Source organism: Homo sapiens, chromosome 3, assembly GCF_000001405.40.
Source record: "Homo sapiens chromosome 3, GRCh38.p14 Primary Assembly".
Classification (NCBI taxonomy): domain Eukaryota; kingdom Metazoa; phylum Chordata; class Mammalia; order Primates; family Hominidae; genus Homo; species Homo sapiens.
The window spans coordinates 84,776,252-84,798,362 of NC_000003.12; the positions used below are offsets into that span (position 1 = coordinate 84,776,252).

General features: G+C 33.8%; 1 long non-coding RNA gene across 1 annotated transcript in view; it reads right to left on the bottom strand.

Moving 5' to 3' along the window:
* Window positions 1-22,111, bottom strand: part of LINC00971 (long intergenic non-protein coding RNA 971) — a 231,171-nt gene that overhangs the window by 137,847 nt on the left and 71,213 nt on the right. The window contains exons 9-10 of the long non-coding RNA NR_033860.1: window positions 15,917-16,040; window positions 13,387-13,521 (exon numbers count right to left, since the gene is read on the bottom strand). This is a non-coding gene — a long non-coding RNA (long intergenic non-protein coding RNA 971). The remainder of the gene's footprint in view (window positions 1-13,386; window positions 13,522-15,916; window positions 16,041-22,111) is intronic.

A 22,111-nucleotide genomic window follows, 5' to 3' on the forward strand; every position in this document is an offset into this window, starting at 1 on the left:
CATAGTACTGGCATGAAAACAGACACATAGACCAATGGAGCAGAATAGAGAATGCAGAAATAAATTGACTCATTTACAGCTAACTCATTTTCGCCAAAGCCACCAAGAACATAGATTGAGAAAAGGAGTCTCTTCAGTAAATGGTGCTGGGAGAACTAGATATCCGTATGTGGAAACCAGATCCCTATTTCTCACCATATACACAAATCAAATCAAAATAAATGAAACACTTAAACCTAAGACCTGAAACTATGAAATGACTAAAAGAACACATTGGGGAAACACTCCAAGGCATTGGTCTGAGCAAAGATTTTAAGTAAGGCCTCAAAAGCACAACAACAAAATCAAAAATAGACAAAAAAGATCATATCATGTTAAAAAAGTTTCTCCTCAAAAAAAAAAAAAAAGTCAACAAAGTGAATGACAATCCACAAAATAGGAAAAGTATTTACAGACTATTCAACTGACAAGGGACTAATAACCATAACATATAAGAGACTCAAACAGTTCAATAGCAAGGCAACAAATAATCCAACTGAAGAATGGCCAAAATATCTGAGTAGACATTTTTCAAAATAAGACATACAAATGGCCAAAGTATATTTTTTAAAAATGCTCAATGACACTAATCATCACAGAGATGCAAATCAAAACCATATCATTTCACCTCAGTTGAAATGGTTTTCCTCAAAAAGACAGGGAATAAGGTATGCTGGTGATGATGTGAAGAAGAGGGAACACTCATACACTGTTGTTGGGAATGTGCTATGGAAAATTGCATGAAGGTTTGTCAAAAAACTTGAAATAAAATTACCAAATGATTTAGCAATTCCATTAGTGGCTATATTTCCAAAAGTAAGGAAATCAGTATATCAAAAAGATATTTGCACTCCCATGTTTATTGCTACATTATTTACAATAGCCAAGATACAGAATCAACCTACTGTTCATCACAGATGAATGGATAAAAAAATGGTATATATACACAATAGAATATTATTCAGCAATAAAGAAAAATGAAATTCTGTCATTTGCAGCAATATGAATGGAACTGGAAGTCATTATGTTAAATGAAATAAGACAGGCAGAAAAGGACAAATATTGCATGTTCTTCATACGTAGGAGTTAAAATATGGATCTCATAAAGATAAATGCTGGAAGGGGTGGGAGGATAAAGAGAGGTTGATTAATGAGTACAAAAATACATTTAGAGAGAAAGAATAAGGCATATTGTTTGAGAGTTCGATAGGGTGATTACAGTTAACAATAATCTATGGTATTGTATATTTCAACTTAGCTAGAAAAGAGTAATTCAAATGTTACTAGCATAAGGAAAAGATACATGATATAGGGTAAGATAAAGGATATCTCAGTTACTCTGATTTTATCACTGCTTATATTATAATATGAATATATCAAAATATAACATTTATCCCCAAATATATACATCTACTATGCAGTAATAACTTTCAGTATTGAAAAAGAAAACATTCTTTTTAAAATAGAAAAAGATGTAAAAGATAGTATTGAAAGATAGTAAGAAAATATCAGGCCATACTCTTAATGAAGGCTGGAATCCAGAAATGTAAGTTGAATACAGCACAGACTTTTGAGTATACCCAAAGGAATATAAATCATGTTGCTATAAAGACACATGCACACGTATGTTTATTGCAGCACTATTCACAATAGCAAAGACTTGGGACCAACCCAAATGTCCAACAATGATAGACTGGATTAAGAAAATGTGGCACATATACACAATGGAATACTATGCAGCCATAAAAAATGATGAGTTCATGTCCTTTGTAGGGACATGGATGAAGCTGGAAACCATCATTCTCAGCAAACTATTGCAAGGACAAAAAAACAAACACTGCACGTTCTCACTCACAGGTGGGAATTGAACAATGAGAACACTTGGATACAGGAAGGGGAACATCACACACCAGGGGGCCTGTTGTGGGGTCAGGGGAGGTGGGAGGGATAGCATTAGGAGATATACCTAATGTAAATGACGAGTTAATGGGTGCAGCACACCAACATGGCACATGTATACATATGTAACAAACCCGCACATTGTGCACATGTACCCTAGAACTTAAAGTATAATAAAACAACAACAACAACAACAAAATATATATATATATATAAAGAAAGACACCTGCCAAACTTGAAATATTTGAGCTATGGTTTTTAAATATATTTTAGTTACATGGGGAAAAAGGAAAAGAATGGAACTTGCCCAAGTAGTATAAGATACATACAGATTAAAGTTGTATAAGACAAGCTATTAGGTTTATATAATTTCAAATGCTCCTCTGATATAATTCAAATCCCAGTGTCTACACCCTCAGTTTAATTATGAATCCAAAATAAATACGCCCTACTTACAATGCAGGGTAACAGAAAACATTGTTTTTATAATGAACATAAAATGAGGCAAAAATTTATACACGTTACATAAGTTTAATATAAACAAATAAATATGATTCCCTTGCATCATATTTGTGATTTGCAAAATTGTATCATCTTATGGTCAAAACAAAGAAAAACAAAGCTGCAAATTTAAATAAAAATTATTCCTGTTTGGCATTGCCACTAAGTGGCTAGCAGAAGCAAATACAAATGCCTTAATTAAATAACAGAAGTTTTCCAAGAAAAATAGTCAAATCATGTATAAAATGAAAGACAAAAACATGGGATCATAAGAAATAATCAAAAGAAATAACAGTGCAAAAATAGACCTGCATAATTTTTAATATTAGAATTATCAGGAGTTATGAATAAATTTGTCTGCTATGCTTTAAGAAATAAAATATACAAAAATTGTAAAAATTTATTAGAATATTAAAATCAAATTAAAGCCAAATAAAATGTCTAGAAAAAAAGTAACAATAACAAATAACATTACAAATAGCTTTTTAACAAGTATATAGACACTGCTGAAAAGAAAATTAGTGAACTGACAAATAAATCAAATGAAAATATTCCCAATGCAGGGCATAGATATATAATTTTAAAATAAGAAATAGTTATCAATACATATATTTGTTTTCTGTTGTGGCTATAATAAATTACTACAAATTTAGCAGCTTACAAAATACAAATTTGTTACCTTTTAGTTCTGTAGGTCTGAAGTCCACTACTGGTCTCACTAGACTAAAATCAAGATGTAGACAGACTGTATTCATTTCTGAAGGTTGTAAAAAAGAATACATTTTATGCTCATTTGAGTTTTGGAAGATTTCAGTTCCGTTTTTTTTTGTGTGGCTACAAATTAAAGGCCATTCACACATGCTAGATGCCACCCTATTCTCTGGCTCCTGGTCCCCTTCCTACTGTCTCAAAGACAATAATTGTGGTTAGTCTTTCTCAAGTTGCATTTCTTTGACACTTTCTTTTTGTTGTTGTCATTTTCTTTCACTTTTAGGGACTAATATAATTAAATTGGACTCCCCTCGATAACTCAGGATAATCTTTTCATCTCAAGGTTCTTAATCTTAATTGTATCTACAAAGTCCCCTTTCCATGAGAGGTAACTTATTTAGAGGTTCTGGGGATTCGAATATGGGCATTATTGGGTAATTATTAGTTTGCTATTGCAGCATTAAAAAAAATAGAATTAGAAAGTAGCACATATGTCTAACCAGCATTTTAGAAAAAGGAGAGAAAATATAAAACCAAAAATATGTGAAGATATAATTGTTGGAAATTTTTTTCAAAATAATAAAATCAACTAATGCACAAAAAGCTCAGGAAATTTCAAGCAGGATAAATAAATAGAAATTGTCACATGGTCACAGCTAGAATACCAAAGCACACAGAAACATTTTTCGTTTGTTTTAAAGGAGCCAGAGAAAAAAATTGTGATTACCATCAAATTATTAACACTTGCATTGATAATTGACTTACATATACAAATAATAGAAGTGAGAAGTTGGTGTTGCTATATCTTCAATATACTGACATAAAATTACTGCTGAACTATATTTACACACACATCTAATGGATTCAAAAAGTTTTCATATGCAGAGCAATTATATATATAAAATATTTGTATTCACAACAACAAAATTTCAGCCTTTCCCCAAGAATTCTTCAGGTTTATATGGCTTCACTGGTGAATTTTAAATGATATTTAAGAAATAATACCAATCAATAATATCAATCTGACATCAAATCTCTCAGAAAATGCAGGAAGAAAGTAACTCTCAATTTGTTTTATGAAGCTTATATACTCCTGATACTAAAATGTGACAACTCCCTTACAGGAAAAGAAAAATACTACAAATCAATATTATTCATTCACAAGAATACAAACATTATTTAAAAGTATCAGTAAATTGAATCCAGCAATGTATAATAAGAAAAATCATCAATACCCATTGAGATGTATCACAGAAACACATTTTAAAACCTACAATGATATATCACGTTATAAAGAAGAAAAATTATGTCTCTTCTTAATAGGTACTGAAAGAGTTTTGGGCAACATTTAATACATTTTATAATAGGAATTCATAGAAAACTATGACTCAGAAAGGAACTTTCTGTTTCTGACAAAAGACATTTATTAAAAAAAAAAAAGTCTATAGCTAACACCAAAATTAAAGGTAAAATATTGAACACTTCCCACTAAGATAGGAAATACGGCAAAGATGTCCTATCAAATTATTTAACATTGTATTGGACATTCTAGCCAGAGCATCACTGTAAGAAAAATAAATAAGAACCATAAATATTGTAAAAGAAAACTAAAATACCTTTATTATGAGATGACAAGAGTAATTTTTTTAGAAAATTCAAAATAATCTACAACCAACAGGTAGAACTAATGAGTGAATTCACCAATATTGTAAAATTACAAATATAGAAAAAATAATTATAACTCTACATACCAGAAACAAACAATTGAAAAATAAAGGAATAAATGTTATTATTTATAAAAGTGTAAAAAACAAAATACTTAGGAATCAGTTTAAGAAAAGATGTGCAAGACTTGTAACCTGAAAATAACAAAATATTTTTGTATAAATTAAAATACTAAATCAATAAAGAGACATTGCATGTTCGTGGATTAGAAGATTCAATTTTATCAGCAGCTCATTTTTTTTCTAAAAGGATTCAAAGCAATCCTACTCAAAATCCCACTGACTTTCTATTACAAACTTGACAAAGTGATTTTTAAATTTACATAGAAATACGAAGAACTTGTAGAGCCAATATCCTCCAAGCAATGACTCAGTAGTTCAGTAAGCAATGATCTTTTGACCAGATCTTCAAAAGAAGCATGTTCTTCCATAGTTGTGACAGGAGGCCAAGATAGGTGGATCACTTGAACACAGGAATTCAAGACCTACCTAGGCAATGTAGCGAAACCTCGTCTCTACTAAGAATAAAAATAAAAATAATTAGCTGGACATGGTGCCACGTGTCTGTAGTCCCAGCTACTTGAGGGGCTGAGATGGGAGGATCGCTTAAACTCGGGAGGTCAGGGCTGCAGTGAGCTGTGATCGCACCACTGCACTCCAGCCTGGGTGACAAAGTGAGATGCTGTTTCAGACAAACAAACAAAAAACTATTAGAGCTAACAAACAAGTTCATCCGTATTGTAGGATCCAAGATTATTATCAGAAATCAACTGTATTTCTTTACATTAACAATAAACAATCTGAAAGTGAAATTAAGAAAACAATTTCATTTACAATGGCTTAAAAATAAAATTCTTAATATTAAATTTAACAAAAAAAGTGTGTAAGTCTTGTACACTGAAAACTGCAAAACATTGTTGAGCAGAATTAAAGAACTAAATAAATGTAATGCCAGTCTATGTTCCTGGATTAAAAGATTTAATATTTATCTACAGGTTTATCATTATTTATATGAAATCCTCCCACTTTAAAAAAAAAAAATCTTAAAAGGGGCCAGACACAGTGCCTCATGCCTGTAATCCCAACAATTTGGGAGGCCCAGGCAGGCAAATCTCTTGAGGCCAGGAGCTCCAGACCAGCCTGGCCAACATGGCAAAATCCAGTCTGTACTAAAAATACAAATATTAGCTGGGCCTGGTGGCACAGGCCTGTAATCTCAGCTACTCGGGAGACTGAGGCATGCGAATGGCTTGAGCCCAGGACATGGAGGTTGCAGTGAGCCAACAAGATTGTGCCACTGCATCCCAGCTTGGGGGACAAACAAGACTCTGTCTCAAAAAAAAAAAAAAAAAAAAAACTTAAAAGACAGTGTAGGCATAACACTCCCTGACCATGGATTAGGCAATGATTTCTTAAATATGACACCCCAAAAAGAGCAATAAAATAAAAAAATAGATAAATTATACTTTATCAAAATTATACTCTTTTGTGCTTCAAAAGATGCTATCAAAAAAGTGAAAAACCCATAAAATGGGAGAATATATTTGCAAATTCTGTATTTGATATTGAACTAGTATCTAGAAAATATAAATAACTCTTAAACTTAATAAAAAGACAATTATAAATGGTCTTTATAATTAAAGACCAAATATAATTTATAAATAAAGACATTTCTTCAGAGAAGACCACTAAGCACATTTTTTAAATGCTCAACATCATCAACTATCATGTAAATGCAAATCAAAATCACAATGAAATAATACTTCACTCTCCTAAAATGGTTATAATCAAGAAGACAGAAAGTAATAAATGTTGGTGAGGATATGGAGAAATTGCAATCTTCAAAACTTTGTTGGAAAGTGATATAGCCAGTTTGGAAAACTTTGGCAGTTCCTACACAAGGTAAGCACAGCTTTATCATGACTCAGTAACTCCACATTTAGATACATGCCCAAGAAAATGCAAATATACGTCCCAATAAAAACACACAGAAATGTTGACAGCAGCATTATTTATAATAGTGAAGAAAATTGCAACAACTCAAATGTCCATCAAATAAATGGATAAACAAATGTGATATATCCAATCAATCGAATATTTGGCAATAAAGAGGAATAAAGTGCTGATTCAAGTCACAACATGGGTGAATTTTGAGACTGTGATGCTAAATTAAAGAAGTCAAACCACAAGGCCACAAATTGCATGATTCCATTTACATAAAGTGTTCAGAATAGACAAATCCATAGAGACAGAGTGGATAAGTGTCAGATCTGGGATTAGGTAGAGTGAGGAGGCGATTAGTTGTGACTGAATGGATATGGAGTTTCTTTTTGGGGGATTAAAATATTTTGGAATTAGACAGTGGTAATGGTTGCACTACTTCTTTGTGAATATACTAAAGAATGCTTAAGTGTACACTTTAAAAGGATTAATTTTATGTCTGTTGCTTAAAAGAATAAAGCAATGAATTGAGGTAAATCTTTACTCCATAATAGCATAAATGAATGAACCACAGCCACACAAACAGTGTGGAAGAATGGCCAGACATAATGTTGATTAAAAGAAATGATTACAAACAAAAAGACTGTAAAAATGATTATATAAAAATATGGTTTGGTAGGAGACAGTGGGATGTAATAGGAGGTCCCCTGAAACCAGAGATCGTTCTTGAATATCTGAAAATACAGCCTAAAGTCCTTCAAGGTCTTTTCAATGCTATACATATGATAGAAACACAGGGCAGATGAAGTTCTCTAAGGTAATGACAATGTTAACTTTTATCTTGTGAGGTAGTTACACAATTCTTTACTTATAATTGTTCATTAAATTGTGCATAGTTGTATAAACATCAGTATTTTGCTGTATTTCACAATAAAATTTCATAAAAATGAATGAGCGGCTGCATGAATCAATAAACACATAATATAATAAATGTACAGTGGGCTAGTCAAGCATATGAATTTTATTTTCTTTTTCTGAACAAAATTTCAAAAGTGAAAGCCATGTCACAAGCTTTTTGCACTCCCCCATTGCTTCCAGGTTCGATTAGAATACAATATGTATTAAGGAGAGATGGAGTGCTACATGTTTAATAACTGGTTCTCCATGCAGTGAAGAAAAAGACCTCATTTGCAACATTGGCCAATCCTGTTGGGTAAATAATTCTACCATGTATAGAATATTCATGATATATAGAACATATTCAATAAACATTATTTGTGTATGTTAAGCATCAAATATCTCATATTTAGAGAGCGAAAGCCAACAAGAAAAATCAGTGCTTGCAGTTAGTTCTACCTATAAAGTATTTTATCAATAACTTTAGAAGCACATTTTGCATATCAAAATCAATAGATTAGCCATCACTCTTAGTGTCTGCATGATGTCACCAAGTACAAGTCAATCATTAATTTTAGTCCAAATTGGATATTTTCTACCCATCTATAGCAACTCAGAAGAAGAAAATGATCTCATATGTACTAAGTCTATGTCTTGAGATGTCTGGATTCTGTCACTTCTTACTTGCTTCTCAGACTGCCACAATAAGTACCACAGGCTGGATGCCTTCAACAACATCAATTTATTTTCTCACAGCTTTGGAGGCCAGAAGTCCAAGATTAAGGTACTGGCAAATTCAGTTTCTGGTGAGGTCTTTCTTTCTGGCTTGCAGATAGTCACGTGTGTGTGTGTGTGTGTGTGTGTGTGTGTGTGTGTGTGTCTTCACAAAGCCTTTCCTCTGTAGTTGGGGAGAGGGAGATGTCTGGTGTAACTTCCTCTTCTTATAAGAACACCAGTCCTATCAAGTAGGGATCTACCTTTATGATTTCATTTAACATTAATTCTCTCCCCCAAAGCCTTATGTCCAAGTACAGTCACACGGGGGCTTAGGGCTTCAACATAAGAATTTTAAGGATTAAGATTCAGTCTGTAATACTTGCATAGTAAATTTCCCATAGAAAGATACATGCTCTCAAAGATATCAGTGATGATGTGTGTTATTGTGCAAATACTCAAGAGTGAGGTTTGAGTATTTGAAGCACAGTTAGGCAATACATAAAATGTGTTTTTGCCCTAGTATAAATGTTTAATGTTTAAAGTAGTCTTAAGTGCCATATAGATATTTCTTTATAGAATTATTTTTATTTTTCCTCTGGAAATCGCAGAAAAAAATTTAATTTAGACAAAACAAAATAAGACATTTTCTGAGGTCTTCGAAAAATTTAAAAATGCTTCATAATGTGACATTAAGTATAAAATTCAAAAGCAAAGAGGTTAAATTTTAAATATGTTTTTCATTAAAAGCCTCAGAAAATATATTCTTTAAATTATTAATGAACAAATTAACCTATTATCATCTAGAAGGTGAAAAGCCCTCAACAGTACTAAGGGATTGTTTTTCTTAGTAATAAAATTCTTGTCTCCTAAATAAAAATTTAAGGGACAGATAATCACCATTCTGAAATACTAAACAGAAATTTTAATGCATTAATCTATTAAATAGAAACATGGAGACATGATGGCCCAATGCCCTATAGAAATGCCTTGGTTCTATGAATTGGTTTATTTTCTTTACAGCCCAAGATAATGTACTATTTTTTTCAAATGGTTGTTTGGATCAGTGATCCAAATCTCCATATTTTAAAGTATAGATCTTTAGCAGAGTATGTAATCCCAAATTAAATTTAAAAATTAAAGAAAAAATCAGCTTTAATATATTTTCAGTATCTAACTCTGACATCCCACTACTCCCTGGAAGCCAAAAGGTAATCACATTTTCCCTAGATGAGTGAAGTACTGTCAAATCAGATCAACTACCTTTAAGTGAGCCGAAACCACCAAGATTAAATGAAAACACGATTTCATTATTCATCACAACTTGGGAACGTGGCTAAAATCACTTGTTTGGTCTTGAATGGACAGTGGGCTGCCACATTATTTATCTGAGCCACCTGATTTTTCGCTTTTCATCCAAACTGTTTGGTGTTGTGCAGAAAAACCTATCCCACTCAGGTACAGACCAATCTACTGAAGCTGTAAGCTAGCTTTTATAAATTTAAACAGGTAAATTGATTGATTCAAGTAGGAAAAGAAAAGTCAATTTAGGGTTCAAGTTATCTGCCCTGGATGATCCGAATAAGAGGATAATAGCCACATCGTCATTTCACACAGAGTAATAGGAACAAAGCTAGTGTATAGGATTTCACTGCCCAAAGTGGGGATTTAAAATCACCTGAGTAATTTATAGTGTTGATATTCTGTCTGAACAACAGAAACCAAACAAGATTACGTAGTATGTCTTTTGCTCACCTGAAGTGCCTCAATTGGTGTAGTTATACACATCTGGGAGATTTGAAGTAAAATTAATTTATACTTGTAGAATTTTATGTCAAGAATGCCGTTCTTGCTACATCCCATTCCCCTTTTCCAGTCAGTGCACCCATTTTCCCAGAAACTGGGAGTCTTGGTCAACAATGGCTTGCAACTGCTGCCTTCTGTAGAAAAGTGTTGTAGCCAAACTGGAGTCATTTCCCCTGGAAGCTATGGCTTTCTAACCCATCTCCTAACCACCTTGACCAGTGGCTGCCTGTTAAGAGGTTATAAGACACATTTCTTTACCTCAGGATGGACTACCTCTGTGGTACGTTTTGTGCTCCAGAGCTTTTCTCTGAGATCAGACTGCAGCTGGTTCTTCAGTGGGGACACGAATTTAAGTTAGCGTTTCTACTATACCCTATCATACTTCCTATATTTCTGTTGATCGAGAGCACTCCCCCAATTTATCATTTGGAGATGATCTCACATCCTGGGCTCTGCTTTTGGATAAACTGATGTAAAATAGGTGGTAATAGAAGTCATCATAGGAAGCAGCCTTTTAAGAATGTAGGTCTTTAGTCAGATTATTCACCACCTGGGTGGTAAAGAGGACCACCGCCCCCCCATTACTGTGGTAGATAGATATATTGATAGCATCTGGCATGTTATACTGCTGATATTGCTAAAACTTTCAAACGTGATAAACTGGGAAGAGATACAGGTGAAAAGAAAAGCACTAGTTAATGCAATATCTTGGGTATTTCACAGATCTAGGGGATATAACAACTGTAATGACTATGGCATTGACTGTTGCTGAATACCGTTGATGTCTTTAAAAGAGAAAATGTAGTTTAAATCTGTTCAACTATTTAAAGCAACATGTATGAGTTATTGTCTTCTTTGCAATACTTAAAGAGAGTCTTATCTCCTGCCTTTGAAGGCCAGATGCACCTAAATATCAATCACAAAACTTAATTCTAAGTGTGCCAAAACTTTAGAGAATGCAGAATTCATATGGCGATCAAATCTTCTATGCCAAAATAAGAACTCTGATAGAAATGAAGTGGAATTCTGAGACATGAGATGGGGATTACAGGATGTATCCCAGGCATTTAATTATGAGATGCTAATTTGGCATAATTACTATAAAAAGGGTTGAAATGTGAGCTCAGGAGAAGTCAATCAGAGGAGAAAACAATGTGATGATGGAAGCAACATCTGCAGTGATTCACTCTGAAGATAGAGGGAGGAACCACAAGCCACACTGGCCACTAGAATCTGTAAAAGACAAGGAAACAGATTTCTTTCCTAGAACCTCCAGAAAGAAGCAGACCTCATGTCAGTTTAATTTTATCCCAGTGAAACATATTACGTACTTCTGACCTCCAAAACTGTAAGATAACAAATTTGCATTGCTTTAGGCCTCTAATTGTGTTGTCACTTGCTACAGCAGCAACAGGAATCTAATATGGGTAACATGGAATCCTAGCCTAGGTTTTTCTTATTTTGGGTATACTGGCTCCATGGCCTCAACTAGTAGTCATTTATATTTGCCTTCAAATTTTTATTTCTATTTCCTAATTTATATTTGGTATGGACATACTTACCAGTGAGCAGAACCCTCACATTAGTCCCTTGGCTTGTTAAATATAAAATATAATGGTAAAAAAGGCTAAGTGGTATCAAGTAAAAACTCATTACCATTACCACCAATGAAGAACATAAAATACTCCCTCAATATCCACTGGGGGTAGTTTCTAGAACCCCTGATGGATACCAGAAGTCGTGAATAATTGAATCCTTTATATAAAATGGCATAATATTTTCATATCACCTATGCACATCCTTGTGTATATTTTAGATCATCTCTAAATTAGTTATAATACATAATACAATGTAAATACTATGTAAAGAGTTATAGCCACTTATTTTTATTTTTTATTATTGTATTGATATTTTTATTGTTTTTTCTTTTAAAAAATTTTCAAGTTGAGGTTGATTGAATCCATGAATGCAGAAGCCAGGGATATGGAGGGCCAACTGTGTATGTCAAAACTAGTATTGCATTTTGGAGGATATGGTAGAGATGCAATTCTCAAAGAATTATAAGAAGCAGAGATGGTGTTCTCCATCATATTCCCCATTCTATTAACCTGTCTGACTCCTACAAAATTGTATTAATCCTAATAAATGACAGTGGTCTACTGCAAACTTTAACCAAGTAGCGATGCCAATTGGAGCTATTACACAAGATGTAGTATTTTTGAAAGAGTGAAACAACCCAAACTCAAATATGTTAAAGGAATATGTGACTATTAATCTGGTGAATGCATTCTTTTCTATACCCATCAGGATCAAAAGTAGTTTGTGTTCATACGGGATGAACTACAATACACATTCACTGTCTGGTCCCATGGATATAATAATTCTCCCTTTCTTTGCTGTAGTATAGTCAGAAGAGACTTGGACCATTGGGATATTCTAAAAAATAAATCACATTTTCCCCTTTGTTGATGGTATCTTATAAGTCAATTTTGATGAATAAAAGCAGAAAGTTTTCTGGATTCCTTGGTAAAACACATGCACCCCATTGAATGGGAAATAAAACTATAGAGTTTCTGACCCTACCACATTAATAGAGTTTTTAGGGGTGGTCTAGTGTTCCGGAATATACCAGAAAATTAGAAGACATTTTATTGCACCTTGCAACACCTATCACTAAGAAAGTCCCCTGGGTTTTGGAGGCGTCATATCCTCTACTTGCAACTACCATTCAGATAAATTTGTTGGATGATGTGTATGACTCCTAGTTTTGAGTAACATCCAGAACAAGAAAGAACTCTAAAGTAGGTTCAGACTGCAGTAGAAGCAAGCCTGATTGGCCCATATCACTTGCAGAATCCCAAGATATTAGAGATAACTGTGTTAGAGAAACACAGTTTGCTTCTGCCAAACCCCAGTAAAAGTTACAGTGCAGAACTCTAAAGTTCTATAGCATGGTGAAACTGTTCTTATCAGAGACTATAGGTTATTCAAACAACCAGCATGTTACTGAGATCAGATATGTATGGAGCATTTTATAATGTAATACCGTACGGTCATGGAACAAGAACTGTTCTGAATCAGCTAAATACCATTATATGCACCAAGATTCAGCAGCAATCTGTTCTAAAATAGAAGTAGAAAATTTGAGATTCACCTGAATAGATACAGTAGGCACAATATGCTACATAAACATGGGACTCTCATAGATTCCACGTCACCTTTTCCTATTGCATATATCTCTCTTCTTCCATTCAGAACAATGGCCTCATGGAGGATTCACTAGGATTAGCTACCAGAGGAAAAAAAATCTGTGTTTAGTTAAGACACATATCTGCTTTGTATGTAAACACAATATAAAAATGGAAGACCTGATTGCCTAACAACCATATTCAGAGATAACCCAGAAAGGTAGTAGTGAGAAGAAATTAAAATTATTCTCCCACTAAGCATTGGCAGAACATCTTGTCATTCTCTTTGTATGAAGAGAGAAGCAGCCCATAATATGAAAAGAGACTTCCCTTTTCTGGCTAGCAATGTACTTTTCTTTTGCTACATCTCAGCCTTTTGATGACTGACAATAGGGTTAATAAGACAGGCCTCCTCGCTTTAAGATGAGACTAAATCTATGATGAAATTTATGCTCCAGATAGTCCTGTGAGGTCACCCAGAAACTGATCTCTGAGACCATACCCTAGCTTTTCCCCCTATCTTATCTTGCTCCCCACATTTTCCTTTTGAAACCACATAAACAGAAATTTCTTTTCTCAGGCTCTGCTTCCAGAGAACCCAATCAAGACATTATAATTCTGAAACACATTGATGATGGCATTTATTATGTGATTATAAAACTCTCCCCTTACTACTTGTAAAAAATCTACTACCTATAACAATAAAAGCACAATAACATTGAGTAATATATATACATCAATATTATAACTAGACTTAACTATAATATAAATAATATATTATAATTAGTAGTTATAATCTTATATAAATAATCTAAAAAAATGCTGTCCATTCTGTCTTTTGCAGTTTAGAGAAAATGCTTCAACATCCTATTTCTCTTATGGCTTTCTACAACCCCAAAGTGATTCAAAAATTAAAATGGTAGAGCCAGAGAACTGATATTTCAGTAAGATCTCAATATATTTTTCTAAATGGAAAACATCAACATTTAAAAAGTCAAATAAGTTTGTCTGGTATCTCTTACTTTCTGTGTGAACCGCCTAGTTGGCAAATAAACACAAATTAGGAAAAATGAAGATAAAATCAAGTGTGAAAGTTCTTTATAAAGAATTGATGACTATGCTTACATCAAATCTACTTTACTAAAATAACCTTAATGAAACCAGTCATTTTTTTTTGACTCCACAATGTGCAAAACTGTATGAGGAGGTGAGCCCGAAAATTAATTCATTTTCATATACCAAGTATTTTATTCACACAAGGGTACAAATGTAAATTAAATCATATAAATAATAACAATCAGTGTTTTGTAAATCAGTTCACTTTCTACTCAGTGTTTTGTAAATCTTCAGCCTAAGAAGAAGAAAATAAGTAAGTTTTCATTTTAAAAAATATTTCCAGTGAAAGAAAATATGCTTCACTGCCTTATTTTGAGTTGGATGAATGAGCAACACCACTGGAATATCAAAGGCCTACAAATAAATGGATAACAGCAACTAACCCTATATTTATTTGTGGCTTTTGACACATAATAAAGACCTTATGTTTTCCCATTCCAATAAATATGGATGTTCAAAATTATCAGAGATTAACCAGTTACTTTGTCAAAGATCACTCTAGAAATAATGTCTATCCTTAACCTTTGGCTCTCTCGCTTCTGCATTCAGTACATTATTCAAACTCTATTCTCAAAATCACTGACACCTTTCTAATCACCAAATTCCATGAATCTTCCAGAGAGCTAAAATTTTAGAGTACATTAAATTGAAATATTTCTTTGTGTTTACACTACCAATAATATCTAATAAATACTAAGACTGTACATATAAACTTCCCCAACTACTAATATCTTCTGTACATGTCAGAATGAATGATATAGCCAAAAGATACCTATAAATAAGTGTATCATCTTTAATATCTAAATACAAAAGAAAAACGCGATTTTTTTAAGGTCTCAGGAGAAGTTAACATCTGTTTTCTTTGAGGATCAGGTATTTTAAATTTTTTTTATTAGTTTTCTCTTTGCTTGTTGTTTCTTTTTTTATGCAATCAATGTTAGGTTGTCATCAGTTTAAAATAAAGAATTGTAAGATAGTACTTGGAAGCCTCATAGTACCAATAGAAAATCATACAACAACACAAAAAATAAAAAGCAAGAAGTTAAAAATACAACCAGAGAAATCACCTTACTAAAAGGAAGACAGGAAGGAAGGAAAGAAGGACAAAAAGACCACAAAACAACCAGAAAGCAGATAACAAAATGGCAGGCCTAAGTCTTTACTTATTAATAATAACATTGAATGAAAATAGACAAAACTGTCCAATCAAAAGACATAGAGTGGGCTGGGTGCAGTGGCTCACACCTGTAATCCCAGCATTTTGGGAGGCCGAGGCAGGTGCATCACCTGAGGTCAGGAGTTCATGACCAGCCTTGTCAATATGGTGAAACCATTTATCTACTAAAAGTACAAAAATTAGCTGGGCATGGTGATGCTCACCTGTAGTCCTAGCTACTTTTGGAGGCTGAAGCAGGAGAATCACTTGGACCAGGGAGGCAAAGGTTTGCAGTGAGCCAAGATCATACCACTGGACTCCAGCCTGGATGACAGAGTGAGACTCTGTCTGCAAAAACAAAACAAACAAACAAACAAACAGAAAGGACATAGAGTAGCTGAATGGATAAAAATAAAAAACAAGACCCATTGCTCTTTTGCCTACAAGAAAATACTTCACCTATAAAGATACCCAGAGACTGAAAATAAAGGGATGTAAAAAGATATTCCATGCAAATAAAAACCAAAAGAAAAGAGGAAGAATAGCTACAATTATATCAGTAAAATATATTTCAGGGGAAAAAATCTATAAAAAGAGAGAGTGTCATTATATAATGATAAAGAAATCAATTCATTCAGCAATAGGATATAACAATTGTGAATATGTGTGTACCCAACATTGGAGCACTCAAATATATAAAGCAAATATTATTAGAGTTAAAGAAAGAGATAGACCCCAATAAAATAATAGCTGGAGAACTCAACAGCCACTTCAAGCATTGGAGAGTGTTGCAGGAAATCAGGGAACCCAAACGGAGGGACCTGCTGAAGCCGTGACAGAAGAAAATAAATTGTGAAGATTTCATGGACATTTGTTTGTTCCCCAAATTAATACTTTTATAATTTCTTACACCTGTCTTTACTGCAATCTCTGAACATAAATTGTGAAGATTTCATGGACATTTATCACTTCCCCAATCAATACCCTTATAATTTCCTATGCCTGTCTTTACTTTAATCTCTTAATCCCATCATCTTCATAAACTGAGGATGTATGCCGCCTCAGGACCCTGTGATGATTGTGTTAACTGCACAAGTTGTTCGGAAAGCACCTGTGTTTGAACAATATGAAATCTGGGCACCTTGAAAAAAGAACAAGATAACAGAGATGTTCAGGGGACAAGGGAGATAACCATTAGGTCTGATTGCCTGGGAGCCAGGCAGCACAGAGCCATATTTCTCTTATTACCGAAGATGGGTAAGAGAAATATCGCTGAATTCTTTCCCCAGTAAAGAATATTAATAATTAAGAGCGCTGGGAAAAGAATGCATTCCCGGGGGGGCCTCTAAAATGGCCGATCTGGGGGTGTTTGCCTTATGCAGTTGCAGATAAGGGATGAAACACGCCCTGGCCTCCTGCAGCACCCCCAGGCTTATTAGGATTAGGAAATTCCTGCCTAGTAAATTTTAGTCAGACCAGTTGTCTGCTCTCAAACCCTGTTTCCTGATGTTCATCAATGACAATGCGTGCACAGCAGGACAGGGAACCTCATTATTAATTCTAGTTTCTCCCTGGCCTTGTGAACTTGCCCTGACCATTTGCCTTGTGATATTTTGTTGCCCTTAAAGTATGTGATCTCTCTGACCCACACGCTATTCATATACTCCCTCCCTTTTGAAAATTGCTAATAAAAACTTGCTGGCTTTGAGGCTCAGGAGGCATCACAGAACCTGCTGACATGTGATGTCTCCCCTGGACACCCAGCTTTAAAATTTCTCTCTTTTATACTTTTTCCCTTTATTTCTTAGACCAGCCGACACTTAGGGAAAATAGAAAAGAATCTATGTTGAAATATCAGGGGCAGGTTCCCCCGATAGGAGAGATCATCCAGAGAGAAAATAAAGAAACATCATACTTACTCTGCGTTGTAGACCAAATGGATCTAACCAGTATTTATAGAACATTTCATCCAATGGCTGCAAAATACACATTCTTCTCTTCAGCACGTGGATCATTCTTAAGGACAGACCATTTTTTAAGACAAAACGAGTCTTAAAAAATTCAAAACAAATGAAATTCTATCTATCTTCTCTTAACGCAATGGAATAAAACTATAAATCAATAACAAGAGGGATTTTGGAAGCATTAGAAACACATAGAAATTTAATAATATGCTCCTGAATAAACAGTGGGTCAATGAAGAAATTGAGAAGGAAATTTAAAAATTTCCCAAAGCAAATGATAATGTAAATACAATATATTAAAACCTATGGGATACAGTGAAAGCAGTAGTAAGAGGAAAGTTTATAGCTATAAACACCTATAGAAAAAAGTAGAAAAACTTCAAATAAATAACCTAATAATTCATTTTAAGAATCTAGAAAAGCAAGAGAAAATCATACCCAAAATTTGTAGAAGAAAAGAAATAATAAAGATCAAAGCAGAAATAAATGAAATTGAAACAAATATAAAAACACAAAATACAAAATCAAATAAAAAGTTGGGGACCAGGAAGGTGGCTCACACAAGTAATCTCAACAATTTGCAAGCTAAGATGGGAGGATTGCTTCAGCTCCAGAGTTCAAAGCCAAACTGGGCAACAAAGATAGCCTCTGTCTCTACCAAAATTTAAAAAAAAATAGCCATACATTGTGGGATGCACCTATAGTCCCAGCTATTTGGAAGACTGAGGTAAAATAATCACTTGAGCCCAGGAGGTCAAGGCTGAAGCAAGCTGTAGTCACATCACTGCACACAGCCTGGGTGACAGAAAGAAACACTGTCTTAAAAAAAAAAGAAAAGTTCATTCTTCTGAAAACATAAGCAAAATTGACAAACCTTTAGCCAGATTAAGAAAACAAGAGAGAAGAACCAAATAAACAGAATTAAAGATAAAAAGGAGACATCATGACCAACACTGCAGAAATTCAAACAATCTTTAGTGGCTACTATTAGCAACTATATGCCAATAAGTGGAGAAAAATCTTAGACATATGCAACCTACCAAAATTGCACCATGAAGAAATCCACAACCTAAACAGAGCAATGAAAAGTAACAAGGTCAAAGCCGTAAATAAAGTCTCCCCACAAAGAAAAGCCTCTCTGCTTTTCACTGCTAAATTTTACCAAACATTTAAAGAACTAATACCAATCCTACTCAAACTATCCTGAAAAATAGAGGAGGAAACAATATTTCCAAACTCATTCTACAAGGCTGGTATTTGCCCTGATACCAAAACCAGACAAAGACCCATTAAAAAAAAAAAAAAGAGGAACCTATAGGCCAATATCCTTGATAAGCATTGATACAAAATTTCTCAGCAAAATTCTAGCAAAACAAATTCAGCATCACATTATAAAGATTATTCTTCCTGACCAGGTGGGATTTATGCCAGTGATGTAAGGATGGTTCAACATATACAAATCAATGTAATACATCATATCAACAAAATGAAGAACAAAAACCGTATGATAATTCAATTGATATTGGAAAAGCATGTGATTGAATTCAATATCTCTTCATAATAAAAAACATCAAAAAACTGAGTATAAAAGGAACATCCCTAGACACAATAAAATGTGTTTATATATGACAGACCCACAAATAGCATCATATTGCATGGGAAAAAAACAAAAGCCTCCTTTCCTCTAAGATCTGGAACACAGATAAGAATGCACACTTTCACCACTGTTATTTGACATAGTACTGGGAGTCCTAACTAGAGCAATTATACAAGAGAAAGAAATAAAATATATTCAAATTGGAAAGGAAGAAGTCAAATAATTTTTGTCTGCAGATGATATAATCTTATATTTGAAAAAAATAAAGACTTCGCAAGAAAACTGTTAGAACTGATAAATTAAGCAAAGTTGCAGGATACAATATCAACATATAAAAATCAGTAGCATGTCTCTATGCCAACAGCAAACAATCTGAGAAAGAAATCAAAAAAGTAATCCCATTTACAATAGCTTCAAATAAAATGAAACACCTAGGGATAAACTTAACCCAAGAAGTGAAAGATTTCTACAATTAAAACTATAAAGCATTGATGCAAAATATTGAAGAAGATCCCAAAAAATGGAAAGATTGTCTGTGTTCATGGATGGGAAGAATCAATATTATTAAAATGTCCATACTACTCAAATTAATCTACAGATTCAATGTAATTCCTATCAAAAATATCAATGACATTTTTCAAAGAAATACAAAAACCATCCTAAAATTTATATAGAACCACAAAAGACTCAGAATAGCCAAAGCTACCCTGAACAAAAAGAGCAAAACTAGAGGAATCACATTACCTGACTTTAAATTATGCTATAGAGCTATAGTAACCAAACCAGTGTGGTACTGGCATAAAAACCGACAAGTAGACCAATGGAGCAGGTCCATACACCTACAGTGAGCTCATTTTTGACAATGGTGCCAAGAACATACATCAGGGAAAGGACAGTCTCCTCAATAAGTGGTGTTGGTAAAAATAGATATGCAGAAGAATGAAAATAGACCTCTATCTCTCACCATATACAATAATCAAATCAAAATGGATTACATACTTAAATCTAAGACCTCAAACTGTGAAACTACTATAAGAAAACATTTGGGAAAGTCTCCAGGACATTGGACTGGGCAAAGATTTCTTGAATAAGACCCCACAGGCATAGGTAACCAAAGCAAAAATGGACAAACAAGATCATATCAAGTTAAAAAGCTTCTTCATCACAAAATAAATAATCAACAAAGTGAACAGGCCACCCACAGAATGGCAGAAAAATTTTGGAAACTATCCATCTGACAAGGGATTAATAACCAGAATATACAAGGTGTTCAAACAACTCTATATAAAAAATCTAATAATCCAATTAAAAATGGGCAAAATATTTGAATAGACATTTCTCAAAAGAAGATGTAAAAATGGCAAACGAGTATATGAAAAGGTTCTCAACATCACTGATCACTAGAGAAATGCAAATTTAAATTTGCATTTAAAATGGTTTTTATCCAAAAGACAGGCAATAACAAATGCTGGAGAGGATGTAGAGAAAATGGAACCCTCATACACTGTTGGTGAGAAAGTAAATTGGTACAACTGCTATAGAGAACAGTTTGGAAGTTCCTTCAAAAACTAAAAATAGAACTACCATGTGATCCAGCAATCCCACCGCTGGGTGTATACCCAAAAGAAAGAAAATTAGTATATTAAAGAGCTAACTGCACTCCCATGTTTATTGCAGCACAATTCACAACAGCTAAGATTTGGAAGCAAACTAAGTATCTACCAACAGATATATGGATAAAGAAAATGTGGTACTTATAAACAATGGAGACCTATTCAGCCATTTAAAAAATTAGATGCTGTCATTTGTAACAACATGGATGGAATTGGGGTCATTATGTTAAGTGAAATACACCAGGCACAGAAAAACAAACTTCACATGTTTTCAACTTTGTGGGAGCTAAAAATTAAAACAATCTCATGCAGATAGAGAAAGAATGATGGTTACCAGAGACTCGGGAGAGTAGTGGGGTACGGATGGAAGTGGGGATGGTACAAAAATATAGTTAGATAGAATGAATAAGATTTAGTATTTGATAGCACAACAGGGTGACTACAGTCAAGAATAATTTATTATACATTTAAAAGTAACCAAAAGAGTATACTTGGGTTTTTGTAACACAAAGGATAAATGCTTGAGGTGTAAATTGGATACACCATTTATTCTGATGTAATTATTATCCATTGTTTGCCTGCATCATATACCTCATGTACCCCATCAAATATACCCACAATTTTTTTTTAAATTTTTAAATTAAAATTTTTCATTGACATATGGTTTGGCGCTGTGTACCCACCCAAATCTCACCTTGAATTGTAATAACCCCACATCATGGGAGGGACCCAATGGGAGGTAATTGAATCATGGGCATGGGTTTCTTCCCTTGCTGCTCTTATGATAGTGAATAAGTCACGAGATCTGATAGTTTTTATAAGGGGGAGTTCCCCTACATAAGCCCTCTTGCCTGCCACCATGTAAGATGTCCCTTTGCTCTTCCTTCATCTTCTGCCATGATTGTGAGGCCTCCCCAGCCATATGGAAATGTGAGTCCATTAAACCTCTTTTTCTTTATAAATTACCTCATCTCAGGGATTTCCTTATTAGTAGCGTGAGAACGGACTAAGAAAACAAATAATAATTATACATATTTATATGATACATAGTGATGTTTTGATATATATCATGTATGGTTATCTGATCTGGGTAATAAGCATATCTGTCATCACAAACATTTATCATTTCTTTGTGTTGTGAATATCCTGGGAAACAAGACAAAGACCAAATTTCAAAAGTGACTCAGCAGGTAAAATCTCAGAAGATTGGGGATTTGAAAATACTAGAAGTAAAGTTCAATTATT